Below are 16,035 nucleotides of genomic sequence, written 5' to 3'. Positions count from 1 at the left end.
GTAGGAACACTGAGCTCCTACATGAATTCATCCATGATATAAAAGCTAAAATCTTAAATGTATATATGTTTTTCTGACATAAGCTAGGATTCTCAATCAGTTAAAAAGGTGAAGTGGGCCAGGCGCGGTGGCTCACGCCTGTAATTCCAGCACTTTGAGAGGCCGAGGTGGGTGGATCACCTGAGGTCAGGAGTTCAAGACCAGCCTGGCCAACATGGTGAAACCCCGTCTCTACAAAAAATACAAAAAAATTAGCCGGGTGTGGTGGCACATGCCTGTAATCCCAGCTACTCAGGAGGCTGAAACACGAAAATCGCTTGAGCCCGGGAGGTGGAGGTTGCAGTGAGCCGAGATTGCACCACTGCACTCCAGCCTGAGTGACAGAGTGAGACTCCATCTCAAAAAAAAAAAAAAAAAAAAAGAAGAAGAAGAAGAAGAAGAAAAGAAAAGATGAACTGAAAGGCATACAACTGGGAAATCATAACACAGGAAGATTCTTAGTAAAATTTCCCAGAACTTTTATTTCAATAACTACAATTAACTTCCTAATTGAAGAAAAGCAACTCCTTAGCTAGGTTAAAATAAAAATCTAGCTATCTACCATTCACAAAAAGTACCTAAATTATAGCATAAAGGATGTGAAAATAAAGGAAGGAGGAAAGCTATACTAGAGATAGGAAAGGTAGGCAAGTGTCAACAAAAATGAAGCAAAGGTGGCCATATTAAGGGCAGATAACAGAATTTATTGCAATGACTTGTAGAAAGAAAAAAACTTACTTTATATTAATAAAATATCTTGTCCATTTATATTAGTCATTAGCCATCACATGTATCACACAAAATTGCGAAAATATGTAACTACAGAAGAAGACAGACAAAAATATAATCATAGTGGGAAGTTTTGACTATCCCTAGGAATTTGACAGATGAAGAATACAGACTAATAAAGTTTAAAAAAATTGTAAGCACAAACATTCACGAGCTTAAGCTATAGCCTAGGAATAGACAGTACAATTCTTTTCAAATGCCTACAGAATATTTACAAAGATAGATCATGTGTAAGATCACAAGAAAATCTCAAAAAATACTATCTCATGATTTCTCAGGGTAGTCATACAGATTGTACGTTTTAGTAACCACAAGGCAACAAAACTAAGAAACTTACACCAAAAGGGGAACCACCTTTCATCACCTTCATCTACATGTTAGAATTGCATGATTATCAAAAGTTTTACATTTTCCCTCCTCTGAAGAGAAGTTCATTTGAAGATGGTGTCTTTCAACAAGGCCATGCTTAGATATCATTATCCTATGAATAATAACCATAGCAATTTTGCTTTTAAAAATGGAAAGCCTTCGATTGCTGGGAGGCTCAAAAATATGAAGAAACAGATAATTTTCTTGGCTTTTGTTCAATAATACCCCAGTAGAAATGCTTATTTCCAGCCCCCTCTTATAGGAATGTCAGTAGCATGCTTGCACTCATATTCTGAAAAAGAAACAGGAACAACGTACAAGTTCAAGATGATAAGGGGGAAAAGCCATTGACAAGAAAGCATTTTAAAAAAACACATAAACTTCTTGGACACCATTATACTTTACCTGCTATTTTCCCCCCGCCACTCCCAGTGTTATGCATAAGGATTCTAAGAGAGAACTAAGACAACCACCATTCATCCATAAAATAAAAAAACTAATAATTATTTCAATTCGTTACAAGAGTCAGGAGAAGAACTTGGGACAAAAAGATATTGTGTGATCAAATATACAAAAAAGATATTGTGTTATCAAATACAAAGAATGAAAAATCATAAATTTCTGACAAATTAAATCAAATAAGCATTTGTTTCCTCCAAATAAATAGAAATTTCCAATTAGCAATCATAACAATTGGTAATCTTCAAACTGCCAAAGAAACCAAATTCAATCTCTCTGTATTACTGATAATACTCTGTGAATTAGACTGGAGGCCTTATGCTAACCAGCTCCTACTGGACAGTATTTAAGACACAGCTACCTCACAATTAATTTTATAATACATCTGGTAAGTCTTTTAATTATAATGTGCCAATATGTTATGCAATAATTGCCTCTCAGTGACAACACCTTTATATTCATTTGATCTCTATTAACATTATGAAATGTGAAACAAGGAAAAACCCTTAGGTACTTACAGTATGCAAGATGCTTTATATACTGTGAGTCATGGCCTGGGCAGTAATCCTGCCATTAGTATAATAAAAAGAGGTATTCTCTCTCCCTCCTCTGAACATCTGTAGTACTTATCGTCTATGTCACTTATTTGGCACTTTGTTTTGAAGTGGTAAATTTGCAGTTGTGTCTTTTATCTGAACAAATCCCTTAAGGGCAAAAGTGACACCTACTTATTTGGATCTTCCACACAATACCTCACAAGTAGAAGGTATTTCTTAAATATTAATTGACAATTATTAATTGACTGAATAGTGCCATCAACATATCTTTCCTTCAATAACACCTTTGGAGTATAGCTACATCCTGTATATTCTGGACTGTCTATACTTTCCAATTTTCTGAAAATTTTCTGAAAAATAAAGTGAAGCAAACAAAGAAATAATGTTTATTTAAAACACCCAGATTTTTGGTTAAGTGATATTAGATTAAATGAATAAATTTTCTTTAAATTAATCCTAACTCTAATTAAAGATCATCAAACATAAAGGTTATAGCACTGATGTGTGGGCCCTAACACTGTTTTTTCACAATCCTGTCTCTGAATTAAAAAACAACAACAAAAACAACAAAGCTTTACCATCTGTCCCCAAACACTCTTCCCCTGTCTCTAGACCTTCCTGTACTCAATCAGTAGTTATCCCTACATCTTTCCAGAAGGTTCCCATGGCTCCTGGTCTTTAGAAACTCTATCCTATAAATGGTTCTCAAACTTTAGCATGCATCACAATGTCCTTGAGGGCTTGTTAAAACACAAATTGCTGGGCTGCACCCCCAGAGTTGCTTATTTAGTAGGTCTCTAATGTGTGTTTTACTGTTGCATTTTTTTTTTTATACTTTAAGTTTTAGGGTACATGTGCACATTGTGCAGGTTAGTTACATATGTATACAAGTGCCATGCTGGTGTGCTGCACCCATTAACTCGTCATTTAGCATTAGGTATATCTCCTAATGCTATCCTTCCCCCTTCCCCCCACCCCACAACAGTCCCCAGAGTGTGATGTTTCCCTTCCTGTGTCCATGTGTTCTCATTGTTCAATTCCCATCTATGAGAGAGAACATGGCGGTGTTTGGTTTTTTGTCCTTGCGATAGTTTGCTGAGAATGATGATTTCCAATTTCATCCATGTCCCTACAAAGGACATGAACTCATCATTTTTTTATGGCTGCATAGTATTCCATGGTGTATATGTGCCACATTTTCTTAATCCAGTCTATCATTGTTGGACATTTGGCTTGGTTCCAAGTCTTTGCTATTGTGAATAGTGCCGCAATAAACATATGTGTGCGTGTGTCTTTATAGCAGCATGATTTATAGTCCTTTGGGTATATACCCAGTAATGGGATGGCTGGGTCAAATGGTATTTCTAGTTCTAGATCCCTGAGGAATCGCCACATTGACTTCCACAATGGTTGAACTAGTTTACAGTCCCACCAACAGTGTAAAAGTGTTCCTGTTTCTCCACATCCTCTCCAGCACCTGTTGTTTCCTGACTTTTTAATGATTGCCATTCTAACTGGTGTGAGATGGTATCTCATTGTGGTTTTGATTTGCATTTCTCTGATGGCCAGTGATGATGAGCATTTTTTCATGTGTCTTTTGGCTGCGTAAATGTCTTCTTTTGAGAAGTGTCTGTTCATATCCTTTGCCCACTTTTTGATGGGGTTGTTTTTTTCTTGTAAATTTGTTTGAGTTCATTGTAGATTCTGGATATTAGCCCTTTGTCAGATGAGTAGGTTGCGAACATTTTCTCCCATTCTGTAGGTTGCCTGTTCACCCTGATGGTAGTTTCTTTTGCTGTGCAGAAGCTCTTTAGTTTAATTAGATCCCATTTGTCAATTTTGGCTTTTGTTGCCATTGCTTTTGGTGTTTTAGACATGAAGTCCTTGCCCATGCCTATGTCCTGAATGGTAATACCAAGGGTTTTCTTCTAGGGTTTTTATGGTTTTAGGTCTAACGTTTAAATCTTTAATCCATCTTGAATTAATTTTTGTATAAGGTGTAAGGAAGGGATCCAGTTTCAGCTTTCTACATATGGCTAGCCAGTTTTCCCAGCACCACTTATTAAATAGCGAATCGTTTCCCCATTGCTTGTTTTTGTCAGGTTTGTCAAAGATCAGATAGTTGTAGATATGTGGCATTATTTCTGAGGGCTCTGTTCAGTTCCATTCATCTATATCTCTGTTGTGGTACCAGTACCATGCTGTTTTGGTTACTGTAGCCTTGTAGTATAGTTTGAAGTCAGGTAGCGTGATGCCTCCAGCTTTGTTCTTTTGGTTTAGGACTGACTTGGCGATGCAGGCTCTTTTTTGGTTCCATATGAACTTTAAAGTAGTTTTTTCCTATTCTGGGAAGAAAGTCATTGGTAGCTTGATGGGGATGGCATTGAATGTATAAATTACCTTGGGCAGTATGGCCATTTTCACGATATTGACTCTTCCTACCCATGAGCATGGAATATTCTTCCATTTGTTTGTATCCTCTTTTATTTCCTTGAGCAGTGGTTTGTAGTTCTCCTTGAAGAGGTCCTTCACGTTCCTTGTAAGTTGGATTCCTAAGTATTTTATTCTCTTTGAAGCAACTGTGAATGGGAGTTCACTCATGATTTGGCTCTCTGTTTGTCTGTTATTGGTGTATAAGAATGCTTGTGATTTTTGTACATTGATTTTGTATCCTGAGACTGCTGAAGTTGCTTATCAGCTTAAGGAGATTTTGGGCTGAGACGATGGGGTTTTCTAGATATACAATCATGTCGTCTGCAAACAGGGACAATTTGACTTCCTCTTTTCCTAATTGAATACCCTTTATTTCCTTCTCCTGCCTAATTGCCCTGGCCAGAACTTCCAACACTATGTTGAATAGGAGTGGTGAGAGAGGGCATCCCTGTCTTGTGCCAGTTTTCAAAGGGAATGCTTCCAGTTTTTGCCCATTCAGTATGATATTGGCTGTGGGTTTGTCATAGATAGCTCTTATTATTTTGAGATATGTCCCATCAATACCTAATTTATTGAGAGTTTTTAGCATGAAGGGTTGTTGAATTTTGTCAAAGGCCTTTTCTGCCTCTATTGAGATAATCATGTGGTTTTTGTCTTTGGTTCTGTTTATATGCTGGATTACATTTATTGATTTGCGTATATTGAACCAGCCTTGCACCCCAGGGATGAAGCCCACTTGATCATGGTGGATAAGCTTTTTGATGTGCTGCTGGATTCGGTTTGCCAGTATTTTATTGAGGATTTTTGCATCAATGTTCATCAAGGATATTGGTCTAAAATTCTCTTTTTTGGTTGTGTCTCTTCCCGGCTTTGGTATCAGGATGATGCTGGCCTCATAAAATGAGTTAGGGAGGATTCCCTCTTTTTCTGTTGATTGGAATAGTTTCAGAAGGAATGGTACCAGTTCCTCCTTGTACCTCTGGTAGAATTCGGCTGTGAATCCATCTGGTCCTGGACTCTTTTTGGTTGGTAAGCTACTGATTATTGCCACAATTTCAGATCCTGTTATTGGTCTATTCAGAGATTCAACTTTTTCCTGGTTTAGTCTTGGGAGAGTGTATGTGTCGAGGAATTTATCCATTTCTTCTGGATTTTCTAGTTTATTTGCGTAGAGGTATTTGTAGTATTCTCTGATGGTAGTTTGTATTTCTGTGGGATCGGTGGTGATATCCCCTTTATCATTTTTTATTGCGTCTATTTGATTCTTCTCTCTTTTTTTCTTTATTAGTCTTGCTAGCGGTCTATCAATTTTGTTGATCCTTTCAAAAAACCAGCTCCTGGATTCATTAATTTTTTGAAGGGTTTTTTTTAGTCTCTATTTCCTTCAGTTCTGCTCTGATTTTAGTTATTTCTTGCCTTCTGGTAGCTTTTGAATGTATTTGTTCTTGCTTTTCTAGTTCTTTCAATTGTGATGTTAGGGTGTCAATTTTGGATCTTTCCTGCTTTCTCTTGTGGGCATTTAGTGCTATAAATTTCCCTCTACACACTGCTTTGAATGTGTCCCAGAGATTCTGGTATGTTGTGTCTTTGTTCTCGTTGGTTTCAAAGAACATCTTTATTTCTGCCTTCATTTCTAACAAGTTTTCAAAAGATGCTAATGTTGCTGGTACCACACTTTCAGAACTATCACTACCCTCAATCCTTACTTATTTCTGTCAGGCTTTTTTGTGTCTGATGTATGCATTCAAATCAATTTTAGAGACTGATTCTTTAGATGACGCTTGGTTTTTTCACCTACTATTCTAAGTAAGTTTTGGTCAGGTGCTATGAATGGCAAACAACATCTTCATGTGCAACTTCTGGCATGATATCAAATGTTTTTGGACAACCAAAGGATGATTCTAACTTTTCTAACTCCACAATGCCGCAAAACCATTTGGACCAAGTGACCTCCTCCACAGGGAAACACCAAAATACTTGTTGACCCTATATCATTCTGATTTAGAGTAACACGGATGCATATATTATTCTACCAGATTTTTTTCCCCTCCCTCTCACCTGGTTAACTTTTCTTTTGGGTCTTAGCTTGTGTAGGAGAGCCTTCCTTTTCTGTGCCATGATCAAGTCAAATCCTCCTATTATGAGTTCTCAGAGAGTCACTGAATCCCTCCTTTTTAGCCTTTGTCATGGCTGCATTTTTTACATTTGTTTATACAGTACAAATGTGTTCGTGTGTGAGTGTGTGTGTATTTATTTATTTTTTGAGAGGAGTCTCACTCTGTCACCCAGGCTGGAGTGCAGTGGCATAATCTTGGCTCACTGCAACCTCCACCTCCTGGATTCAAGTGATTCTCCTGCCTCAGCCTCCCGAGTAGCTGGGATTACAGGTGCCCACCACTACACCGGCTAAATTTTGTATTTTTAGTAGAGATGGGGTTTCATCATGTTCACCAGGCTGGTCTCAACCGCCTGACCTCAAGTGACACCCCAACCTCAGCCTCCCAAAGTGCTGGGAACAGAGGTGTAAGCCACCGCACCTGGCCCAAATATTTTGTTAATAGCTATTTTCCACATTGAACTGTGAGCTCTAAACTGAGAAGAACTGTTTCGGTTTCAATCACCATTACACTTTTGCTGCCTGGTGTAATATTGGGCACATAGAAGATATTCAAATGAATGTAGATAATAGCTGAGCTTTTTCAGCCCTAAAAGAGATAAGGAAAGTATTCCTTTCATACTCTGCCAAAGGCACAGGAATAATGAAACAAAAATCTAATCTCTGACCCTGTATCTGTTTTTTAAGTACCCAATACTGAAACAACAACAACAACAGCAGCAGCAGCAGCAGCTTACCTTTTCTGAATAATTCTTGGAGACTTTCAGCACTTTGATTTAATACAGCCCATATTTCTTCCTCCTGAAGTGGTCCACCCCGAACCTCCAGGGCCTCAGCTAGTGACACGTGCATATTACCTGGGAAACAAAGGTAACAGATGGTCTATGCATCAGCAACTTAACTATACTTGCAGTAGTAAAAGCTCTACATCAGTGATGACAGACTATAAGCCCCCTGTCTACCTAATTTCTCAATATGGCTACCAATCTAAATGTTATCTTAAACTCACAGAAGGTAAAGGAATTGGAGGGAAAAACCCTCAAAACAACCACTTGCCCTAGCCCAACACGGTCAACTTCAGAGACAGAACTGGAGAATGGGGGTGGTGACTGCTTTACGGAAAAAGGAAGAGACCCCAGGGTACTAGGAGGCACCAAAATACAGATCATAAACCAAAGCAGTCAGACTGAACTGAAGGCCTTTCAGATTTCTGTTCCAGGTTTCATCCTATCCATCCCAGATATAAAAGTAGAGAGAAATAGAGAGGAGAACCTACAGCCATGGTAGGGGAAGTTGGGAATAAGATGGAACACATTTCTTTCATTCTTTAGTTGATTTCTATTATCTCCAATATATATACTATAACTGTATATTTTGCACTAAATGCAATTAAGTATTTCCAGACCCAGCTTTGTTGGCAACTCACCATTTTCCCTGGGAGAGTCACTTTTCCTTTAAACCTCTGTTTCCCTATTGTAACACAGGAATGATAGTAACAATAAAAATGTCATTTTGGGTGGCTATGACAAGGGAAGTGGCTATGCTTGTGAACATGCTTTGATATATGATTCTACAGAAGGTGAATTAATAAAAGATCAGATAAGTGTCTGTGCTGAAATTTTTGTCAGGTCAATTTTTCCAATGGCGTTCAGTTAAGTGATGATATACTGATAAAACTTAAGATTTTCTATGGGGCTTAATAAGCCTATTTTCATGTTAAAAGAGGAAAATGTAACTAGTTAAAATCCTTCTATATAAATTTTCCTAAATTGACACAGCTTGAAAATTGTTCTTTAGAGTGATTCATAAGATTTCTACCCAGACAAAACCAATTTAAGCATAACATATATAGTATATTTCTACTGTAAGGGAGAAGCAGATTTGGAAAAGAAGCCAAATAAGGAGTTTAAAAGTTAACCTATAAAAACATCTGTTTTAGATAAAAGTTGACTTTGTTTACTCAACTAACAAGACAAGCTACTATTTTCTTTTAATTTACATTTATGGTACTTAATCCTGACTGAAAAAAGCAATTCCAACTATAAATGAGGCCAGTCTTGTCCTTTCACTTTCCTTTTTAAATGTTTACTAAAACATTTTATGCTTAAAGTCTGCCTCCAGGGTGTCTACTTATATACACAATGTGAAAGTTAAAAGGAAACTATAAGATACTGCTTTAAAAAAGCCAAAAGCGTTTTTACTTAGGTTGTACAAGAAGTGCGATTATTTATTTAGATCCCCTGCCTGCACCAAAGTCTCTAGGTTCTCATTGACTTTATTATATAATAGCATATTTATTCAAGAGAAAAAAGTAGAAGCTTCATTCCTTTCTAAAGATATGTGAGTTATCTTCTACATGAAAAATATTGATAAATTGGAAGTTTCAACAGAGGGATCAGATAATATTAGCAATCAGATACCAACATGACTTGTGTGAAGGACTACCCTGTAGCAAATTTCCAAAGTAATATGTCTGAGAACTGGTTAGATAGCTCTAACGCATATACTCAGGGTATAAAGAGTAGAGCAAAGATAGAACAAGAATTTCTTTGAAGAGAGTTGTGTGCTGATTTTCATGTCTCCTCCAAAGTGGGAGGGATGTGGAAAGGTGCCTTCCTTTCACCTCAAGCCAGTGAAAGAAGCTTTAATGGGACCCCTGGGAGTCCTTGATATATGTTCTCTGGAGTTAGTGGAGGGCACATCAGGCAGTGCCTAATACACACTTTAGGAATCTAAAGGTGTTGCCTATCACTCTGAGGCAGCAACATGAGGTAGACAGGAGAGGGAGGGCACACAAGAGTGAGGAGACATACTGTATCAGAAGCCAGCTATACTTCCACTGCTCAGGGTAAGAGAGGGGCAAGGAAGCACGGCCACACAGAGGGCCAGCTTGGACCTATATGAAATCCTACCCAGAGGATTAAAATGTCCTAAAATTTAGATAGTGGCAATGGTTGCACAAAAATTCTAAAAATAACTAAAGGTACACTTTATAAGGGTGAAGGCTGAGCATAGTGGCTTAAGCCTGTAATCCCAGCAATTTGGGAGGCTAAGGTAGGAGGATCGCTTCAGGCCAGAAGTTCAAAACCAGCCTGGACAACATGGGGAGACCCTCATCTCTACAAAAAATAAAATCAGCCGGGCATGGTGGTGCCTACTGTAGTCCTACCTATTAAGGAGGCTGAAAAGGGAGGCTCGCTTGAGCCCAGGAGTCTGAGGTTACAGTGAGCTATGATCATGCTTCTGTACTCCAGCCTGGTTGACAGAGTGAGACCGTTTCTAAAAAACTAAAAAGAATTTTTTTAAAGGGTAAGTTTTATTGTATGTGAAGTATATCTCGAAAAGCTGTTTAAAAAATTCTACCCAGAGTTCCACCTGAAGTACCCAGACCACCACCAAGAAAAAGGAAGAAGGGAGGAGGCGCAGGGGGAGGAGGGGAAAAGGAGAGAAGGGAAAGAAGAGGAGAAAGAGAAAGAAGAAGGATTCAAATTAGAATTATTTCTACTGTGGAATGGCCTGAAAGAAAACTAGGCTGAGGGCTAGAGGGGTTAGGGGTTACTGGCTAGTTGGAGGGAAAAATTCTGGAGTGTCACATGTAGTGTAGTTCCAGTGAAGGATTGTGAAGAACCCACAAAAGCACACCGAAGAAAAAGGGCCAGCCTTAAACACATATCAAGTTCAAAAACAGTAAAGCAATTTCACAACAGGAGTGTGGGAAAAACAACAACAAAAACTGTTTGCCTTGCTTTCTCTCTTCCTTCCCCTGGTTTAGATCCTGATGGGGTCAGATATAGCAACTTGCCAGTGGGTGAGGAGATAAGCAACAAAAAGAGAAGCTAATCACACTGTCTTCCATCTATAGATAATCTTAGCTAGGGAAGGGAAAAGTTTTAGCTCTGAATGGACATTGAAAGGTTGATTAATATACTGACTAGGTACTTTTAATTATGGAGTTTAAGTGACTGTAGTCATTAGTATTACCAAAGGGCAAGGAGGGAATTATGAATCTGGGTTTTTATATAGAGGCAGAACTTCCTCTGGTGATATAAGGAAGGATGGAAGGACAAAAGGAAGGAGAACAAAATTAGGTTGCTTATGATGATATGTTATGTATCCCATTGTAAAACCAGTATGTTGGCTTTATACATACATACACACATATATTTATGTGTATATATAGAGAGCACAAGAGACAGACTAGGTTTTAAATCTTAAGATACTGTTTTTCCTTACTTTTTAAAAATAAATTGGGTTTTAAAATATAATTATTCCCTATAAATAAAAAAATGAAAAGGTTAAAAGTAACTTCTCACACAATAGAATTTTTTCAGCAATTAATTTTTCTAGCTACAAAGATTGCTAATTATACCTCTGTTGCTTGATTGAATCGGGTACGAATTATATCAATACCGTGTTAATTTTTATTTAAACTTTTTTTGTATATTCAATATGGGATCTTTATGAACATTTCTGGTTAGAACTTCTTAGAACTCCAAAACATAGAAAGGAACATTTGTTTTTCAAAGTTATCATCAAGCTATCAGAATAGATTTAATATTTTTAATTTACAGCTTTGCTAGGCAAGAACTTAAAGATTTTTTTAAAACTGCCTCATTCTAATTACCCAATGTCAGAATTTAATGTAGTATTACAGCAGCTTTCTAGAAAACAAACAACAAAGCTATCAGCTTATAAATTGCCTACTAGCACCATCTTTCTCTCTCACATGTTTATTTTACTGTTATAGCACTTCAGATCATTAGCTCCGAAGATAACAAGGGAATGAAAGAAATGCAGAAGCTGAAGAGGAATGCAAAAAAGAAAAAAGAAAATGGAGGGAAAAAAGCTTGAAGTCAACCAACAGATGAGGACAGAATTAGTTACAAAAATTTTTTAAAGCCTATTGCTTCAATTGTTTCCTTTAGACACAGTACTAGGTAACTTGGGAGTACAGATATATAACAGACGTTATCACATTAACCTATCACAAAGGTTAAATTTTACAATAAACATAGCCATATTATTTACTTTTATTCTCTTGAAGGTTATATGCTGCATGATAACTAGAAAGTTTTTGGAAAAAAATTTCAAATAAGAAAAATTAATTCTATCACATAACCAGAATCATTATTATGTTTTTGGTTAACACAGGTATTACTGACATGACCTTAAAACTGCTCACAGAGACAAAGCCACAAGGAGATTCTAACAGATGTCATTTTAATCCTGAAGGATTGTGGCACGCACAGCTAGTACATACCAGTGATTGAGAACAGAATGAACAGTAAACAGATTAACTAAATCCAATCAAGTGATAAAATAACCTGTCTGGAGACAGATTAATTAGGAATGTTTAACTTGAATCTAAAGAAATAGGGCTAATAGAAACATGCTGTTTCAAGAACAAAGCAGCTATAAAATGGAGCTCTGTGTATGCCACTAGTTTGAGCAAGGATTCACTCACCATCCAGGCTAAGGACATCTTTGGTCATTAAAAAACCACAGTGAGTTGAGAAGGCAACCCCAAAATTGTAAGCATCTTTTCATCCAGGAAGATTCAGAATTAAGTATAGAAAAGTTTGAGACACAGCCCATATATTAGTATTTTTTAAAATTAAAGAATCTGTACATATATAGTATCTTAGCTAGGAGAAATAGGTGAGTTAGAATAACAGATTCGCATGGTGATTCCAATTTAAATAGTGTAATGAGAAAATGGTTGAGGCTTGTATTTTAAAACATACAAAATGCCACTGGAACATACAAGAGACCCTTAAAGGCTTGCTATACATAAGTCTTACTATATAAGTTTTCATTCATTAGAAGACTTATTTGGGTACTTGGGAAGGTTTTTTCTGTCAGTCAGATACAAGAAATACTTTAAAAATTGGCTTTTAATTGTATGAATGCAGTTTAAAGTGTTTATGGGATGTTAACTGACTAAATTTGAAAATGAGATTATACACTCAAAGGGTCCCTTGAAATTTTCTGCATGTATAAATAGAAAAAATAATTAAATTGACCTTAAAAGCTTAAGAACTATGGCCAGGTGCAGTGACTTATGCCTGTAATCCCAGCACTTTGGGAGGCCAAGGTGAGAGGATCACTTGAGTCCAGGGGTTCAAGACTGCCTGGGCAATACAGCGATACCTCGTCTCTATATATAATAATGCTTTTTAAAAAAATTAGCTGAACATGATGGTGCGTGCCTGTAGTCCCAGCTACCTGAGAGGTTGAGATGGGAGGATTGCTTGAGCCTGGGAGGTGGAGACTGCAATGCTATAATTGCACCACTCCACTCCAGCCTGGGCAACAGAGCAAGACCCCATTAAAAAAAAAGTAAGACATAGGTTTTAGAATTTTTAATGTAATAAGAATGTTCATTTAAAAATAATTTTCAATAAGCTTTTCTGCACACAATAAGGTCTTGAAGGCCATTAAAAAGTTAGGAGAAAATTATGGTGACTTCAGTTAGCCAATGTTTTTGTAGATATGAAAACAAATGCATGACCCAGATTAGAAAAACAAAATTGATAAACTGGAATTCATCAAAATTAAACATCTTTGCTATTTGAAAAGAAAGAACTGTTAAAAAATGAACCACAGTCCCACCAACAGTGTAAAAGTGTTCCTATTTCTCCACATCCTCTCCAGCACCTGTTGTTTCCTGACTTTTTAATGATTGCCATTCTAACTGGTGTGAGATGATATCTCATAGTGGTTTTGATTTGCATTTCTCTGATGGCCAGTGATGATGAGCATTTCTTCATGTGTTTTTTGGCTGCATAAATGTCTTCTTTTGAGAAGTGTCTGTTCATGTCCTTCGCCCACTTTTTGATGGGGTTGTTTGTTTTTTTCTTGTAAATTTGTTTGAGTTCATTGTAGATTCTGGATATTAGCCCTTTGTCAGATGAGTAGGTTGCGAAAATTTTCTCCCATGTTGTAGGTTGCCTGTTCGCTCTGATGGTAGTTTCTTTTGCTGTGCAGAAGCTCTTGAGTTTAATTAGATCCCATTTGTCAATTTTGGCTTTTGTTGCCATTGCTTTTGGTGTTTTGGACATGAAGTCCTTGCCCACGCCTATGTCCTGACTGGGTATATACCCAAAGGACTATAAATCATGCTGCTATAAAGACACATGCACACGTATGTTTATTGCGGCACTATTCACAATAGCAAAGACTTGGAACCAACCCAAATGTCCAACAATGATAGACTGGTTTAAGAAAATGTGGCACATATACACCATGGAATACTATGCAGCCATAAAAAATGATGAGTTCATGTCCTTTGTAGGGACATGGATGAAATTGGAAACCATCATTCTCAGTAAACTATCGCAAGAACAAAAAACCAAACACCGCATGTTCTCACTCATAGGTGGGAATTGAACAATGAGATCACATGGACACAGGAAGGGGAATATCACACTCTGGGGACTGTGGTGGGGTCGGGGGAGGGGGGAGGGATAGCATTGGGAGATATACCTAATGCTAGATGACACGTTAGTGGGTGCAGCGCACCAGCATGGCACATGTATACATATGTAACTAACCTGCACAATGTGCACATGTACCCTAAAACTTAGAGTATAATAAAAAAAAAAATTAAAAAAAAAAATGAACCACAAACTAAGGAAAAATACTGCAAATCATATAACTGATAAAGGACTTATATCCAGAATATATAATTAAAAAACCAAACAATCCAGTTTTTTTTAGATTTGAATGGACATCAGAGAAGATATACGGCTGGCAAATGAGCACATGAAACAATTCTCAACATCATTAGTCATTAGGAAAATAAAAATAAAACAATGAGATATGACTACATAGCTATGAGGATATCTAAAATTAAAAAGATTAACCACAATGTGTTGACAAAGCATACTAAGTATTGACAAAGATGTAGAGAAACTGGAATTTTCATACGTTGCTAGTGGGAATGTAAAATGGCACACTTTGGAAAACTGTTAATATAGTTTCTTAAAAAGTTAAATATACACTTAACATATGACCTAGCCATTCCATGCCAAGCTGCTTACCCAATAGAAATTAAAGCATATGTCCATACAAAGACCTGTACACAAATGTTCATAGCAGTTTTAATTGTAACAGCTAAAAACTGGAAACAAGCAAATATCTATCAACAGGTGAATGGACAAAAAAAAATCTTAGTATATCCTCACAATGGAATACTAATCAGCAATAAAAATTATTACTGATACATGTGACAACATGGATAAATCTGAAATAATTATGCTAAATGAAGAAAGCAAGACAGAAACAAGTGTACATGTTGTATGATTACATTTATACAAAATTATAGAAAATACAAACTAATTTACAGTTACAGAAAGCAGATCAGTGGTTGCCTGAAGATGGTATTGCCCTATGGAGAGGCATGTGGGAAAGATTAAAAAGGGGCATGAGGAAATGTGGAAACATTTGGAGGTCATAAATATGTCCATTATTCTGATTGTGGTGATGATCTCATAGGTACATACATATGTCAAAACTTAACAAATTATACACTTTAAATATGTACAGTTTATTATATGTCAAACATGCCTCAATAAAGCTGTTAAAAAGAAAAAAAAAAACCAAAAACTAAACCCAATCAAAGGTGAAACAGCAATCCTTTTCTTTGTTCCATGAAGCTGCCTGGATGTTTTTAGTGTTAGAAGAAACTAACCACAACTTCAGGTAACATTTGCTTTTTAAGAAATAATAATAAATGGTAAATTTGTTTTCTAAAAGTTAACTTTTCTCATTTTTTTTATTGTGGTAAAAATATACAATGTTAAATTTACTATTTTAACCCATTTTTAAGTGTATAGTTCAGTAGTGTTAAATATATTCACATCGTTATTGAACAGACCTCTGGAACTTTACCTTGTAAAACTGAAATGCCCTTGGTAACCAACTTTGTACTTTCTGTTTCTATGATTTTGACTATTTTAGATATTTCATATGAGTGGAATCATTTAGTACTTGTCCTAAATGACTAGCTTATTTTGCTTCACATAATGTCCTCAAGGTTCATCCATGTTATAGCATGTGACAGGATTTCCTTCTTTTTTAAGGCTGCAAAATATTTTACCATATATGTATATACCACATTTTCTGTATCCATTCACCTGTTTAGAACATTTGGGGTTGTTTCCAGTTCTTGGCTATTACACATAATGCTGTGATGAACATGGGTATGCAGATATCTCTTTGAGATCCTGCTTTGAATTATTTTGGATATACAGCTGACCCTTGAGTAACGTA

The 16,035-nt window shown here is 36.6% G+C and overlaps 1 protein-coding gene across 24 annotated transcripts in view; it reads right to left on the bottom strand.

Annotated features, from left to right (window-relative positions):
* The window catches only part of PTPN13 (protein tyrosine phosphatase non-receptor type 13), a 220,847-nt gene that overhangs the window by 172,291 nt on the left and 32,521 nt on the right, over positions 1 to 16,035 (bottom strand). For 23 of the 24 annotated variants that reach the window (XM_011532165.3, NM_080685.3, XM_017008511.3 and 20 more), the window contains exon 2: positions 7,500 to 7,619. The exons of the other annotated variant lie outside the window; for it this stretch is intronic. In XM_011532165.3, coding sequence (XP_011530467.1) covers positions 7,500 to 7,614 — 115 coding nt within the window. In that variant the 5' untranslated portion in view covers positions 7,615 to 7,619. The remainder of the gene's footprint in view (positions 1 to 7,499; positions 7,620 to 16,035) is intronic. 24 annotated transcript variants of the gene reach the window in all.

Source organism: Homo sapiens, chromosome 4 (assembly GCF_000001405.40).
Source record: "Homo sapiens chromosome 4, GRCh38.p14 Primary Assembly".
NCBI lineage: Eukaryota > Metazoa > Chordata > Mammalia > Primates > Hominidae > Homo > Homo sapiens.
This window is presented reverse-complemented; position numbering and strand designations above follow the sequence as displayed.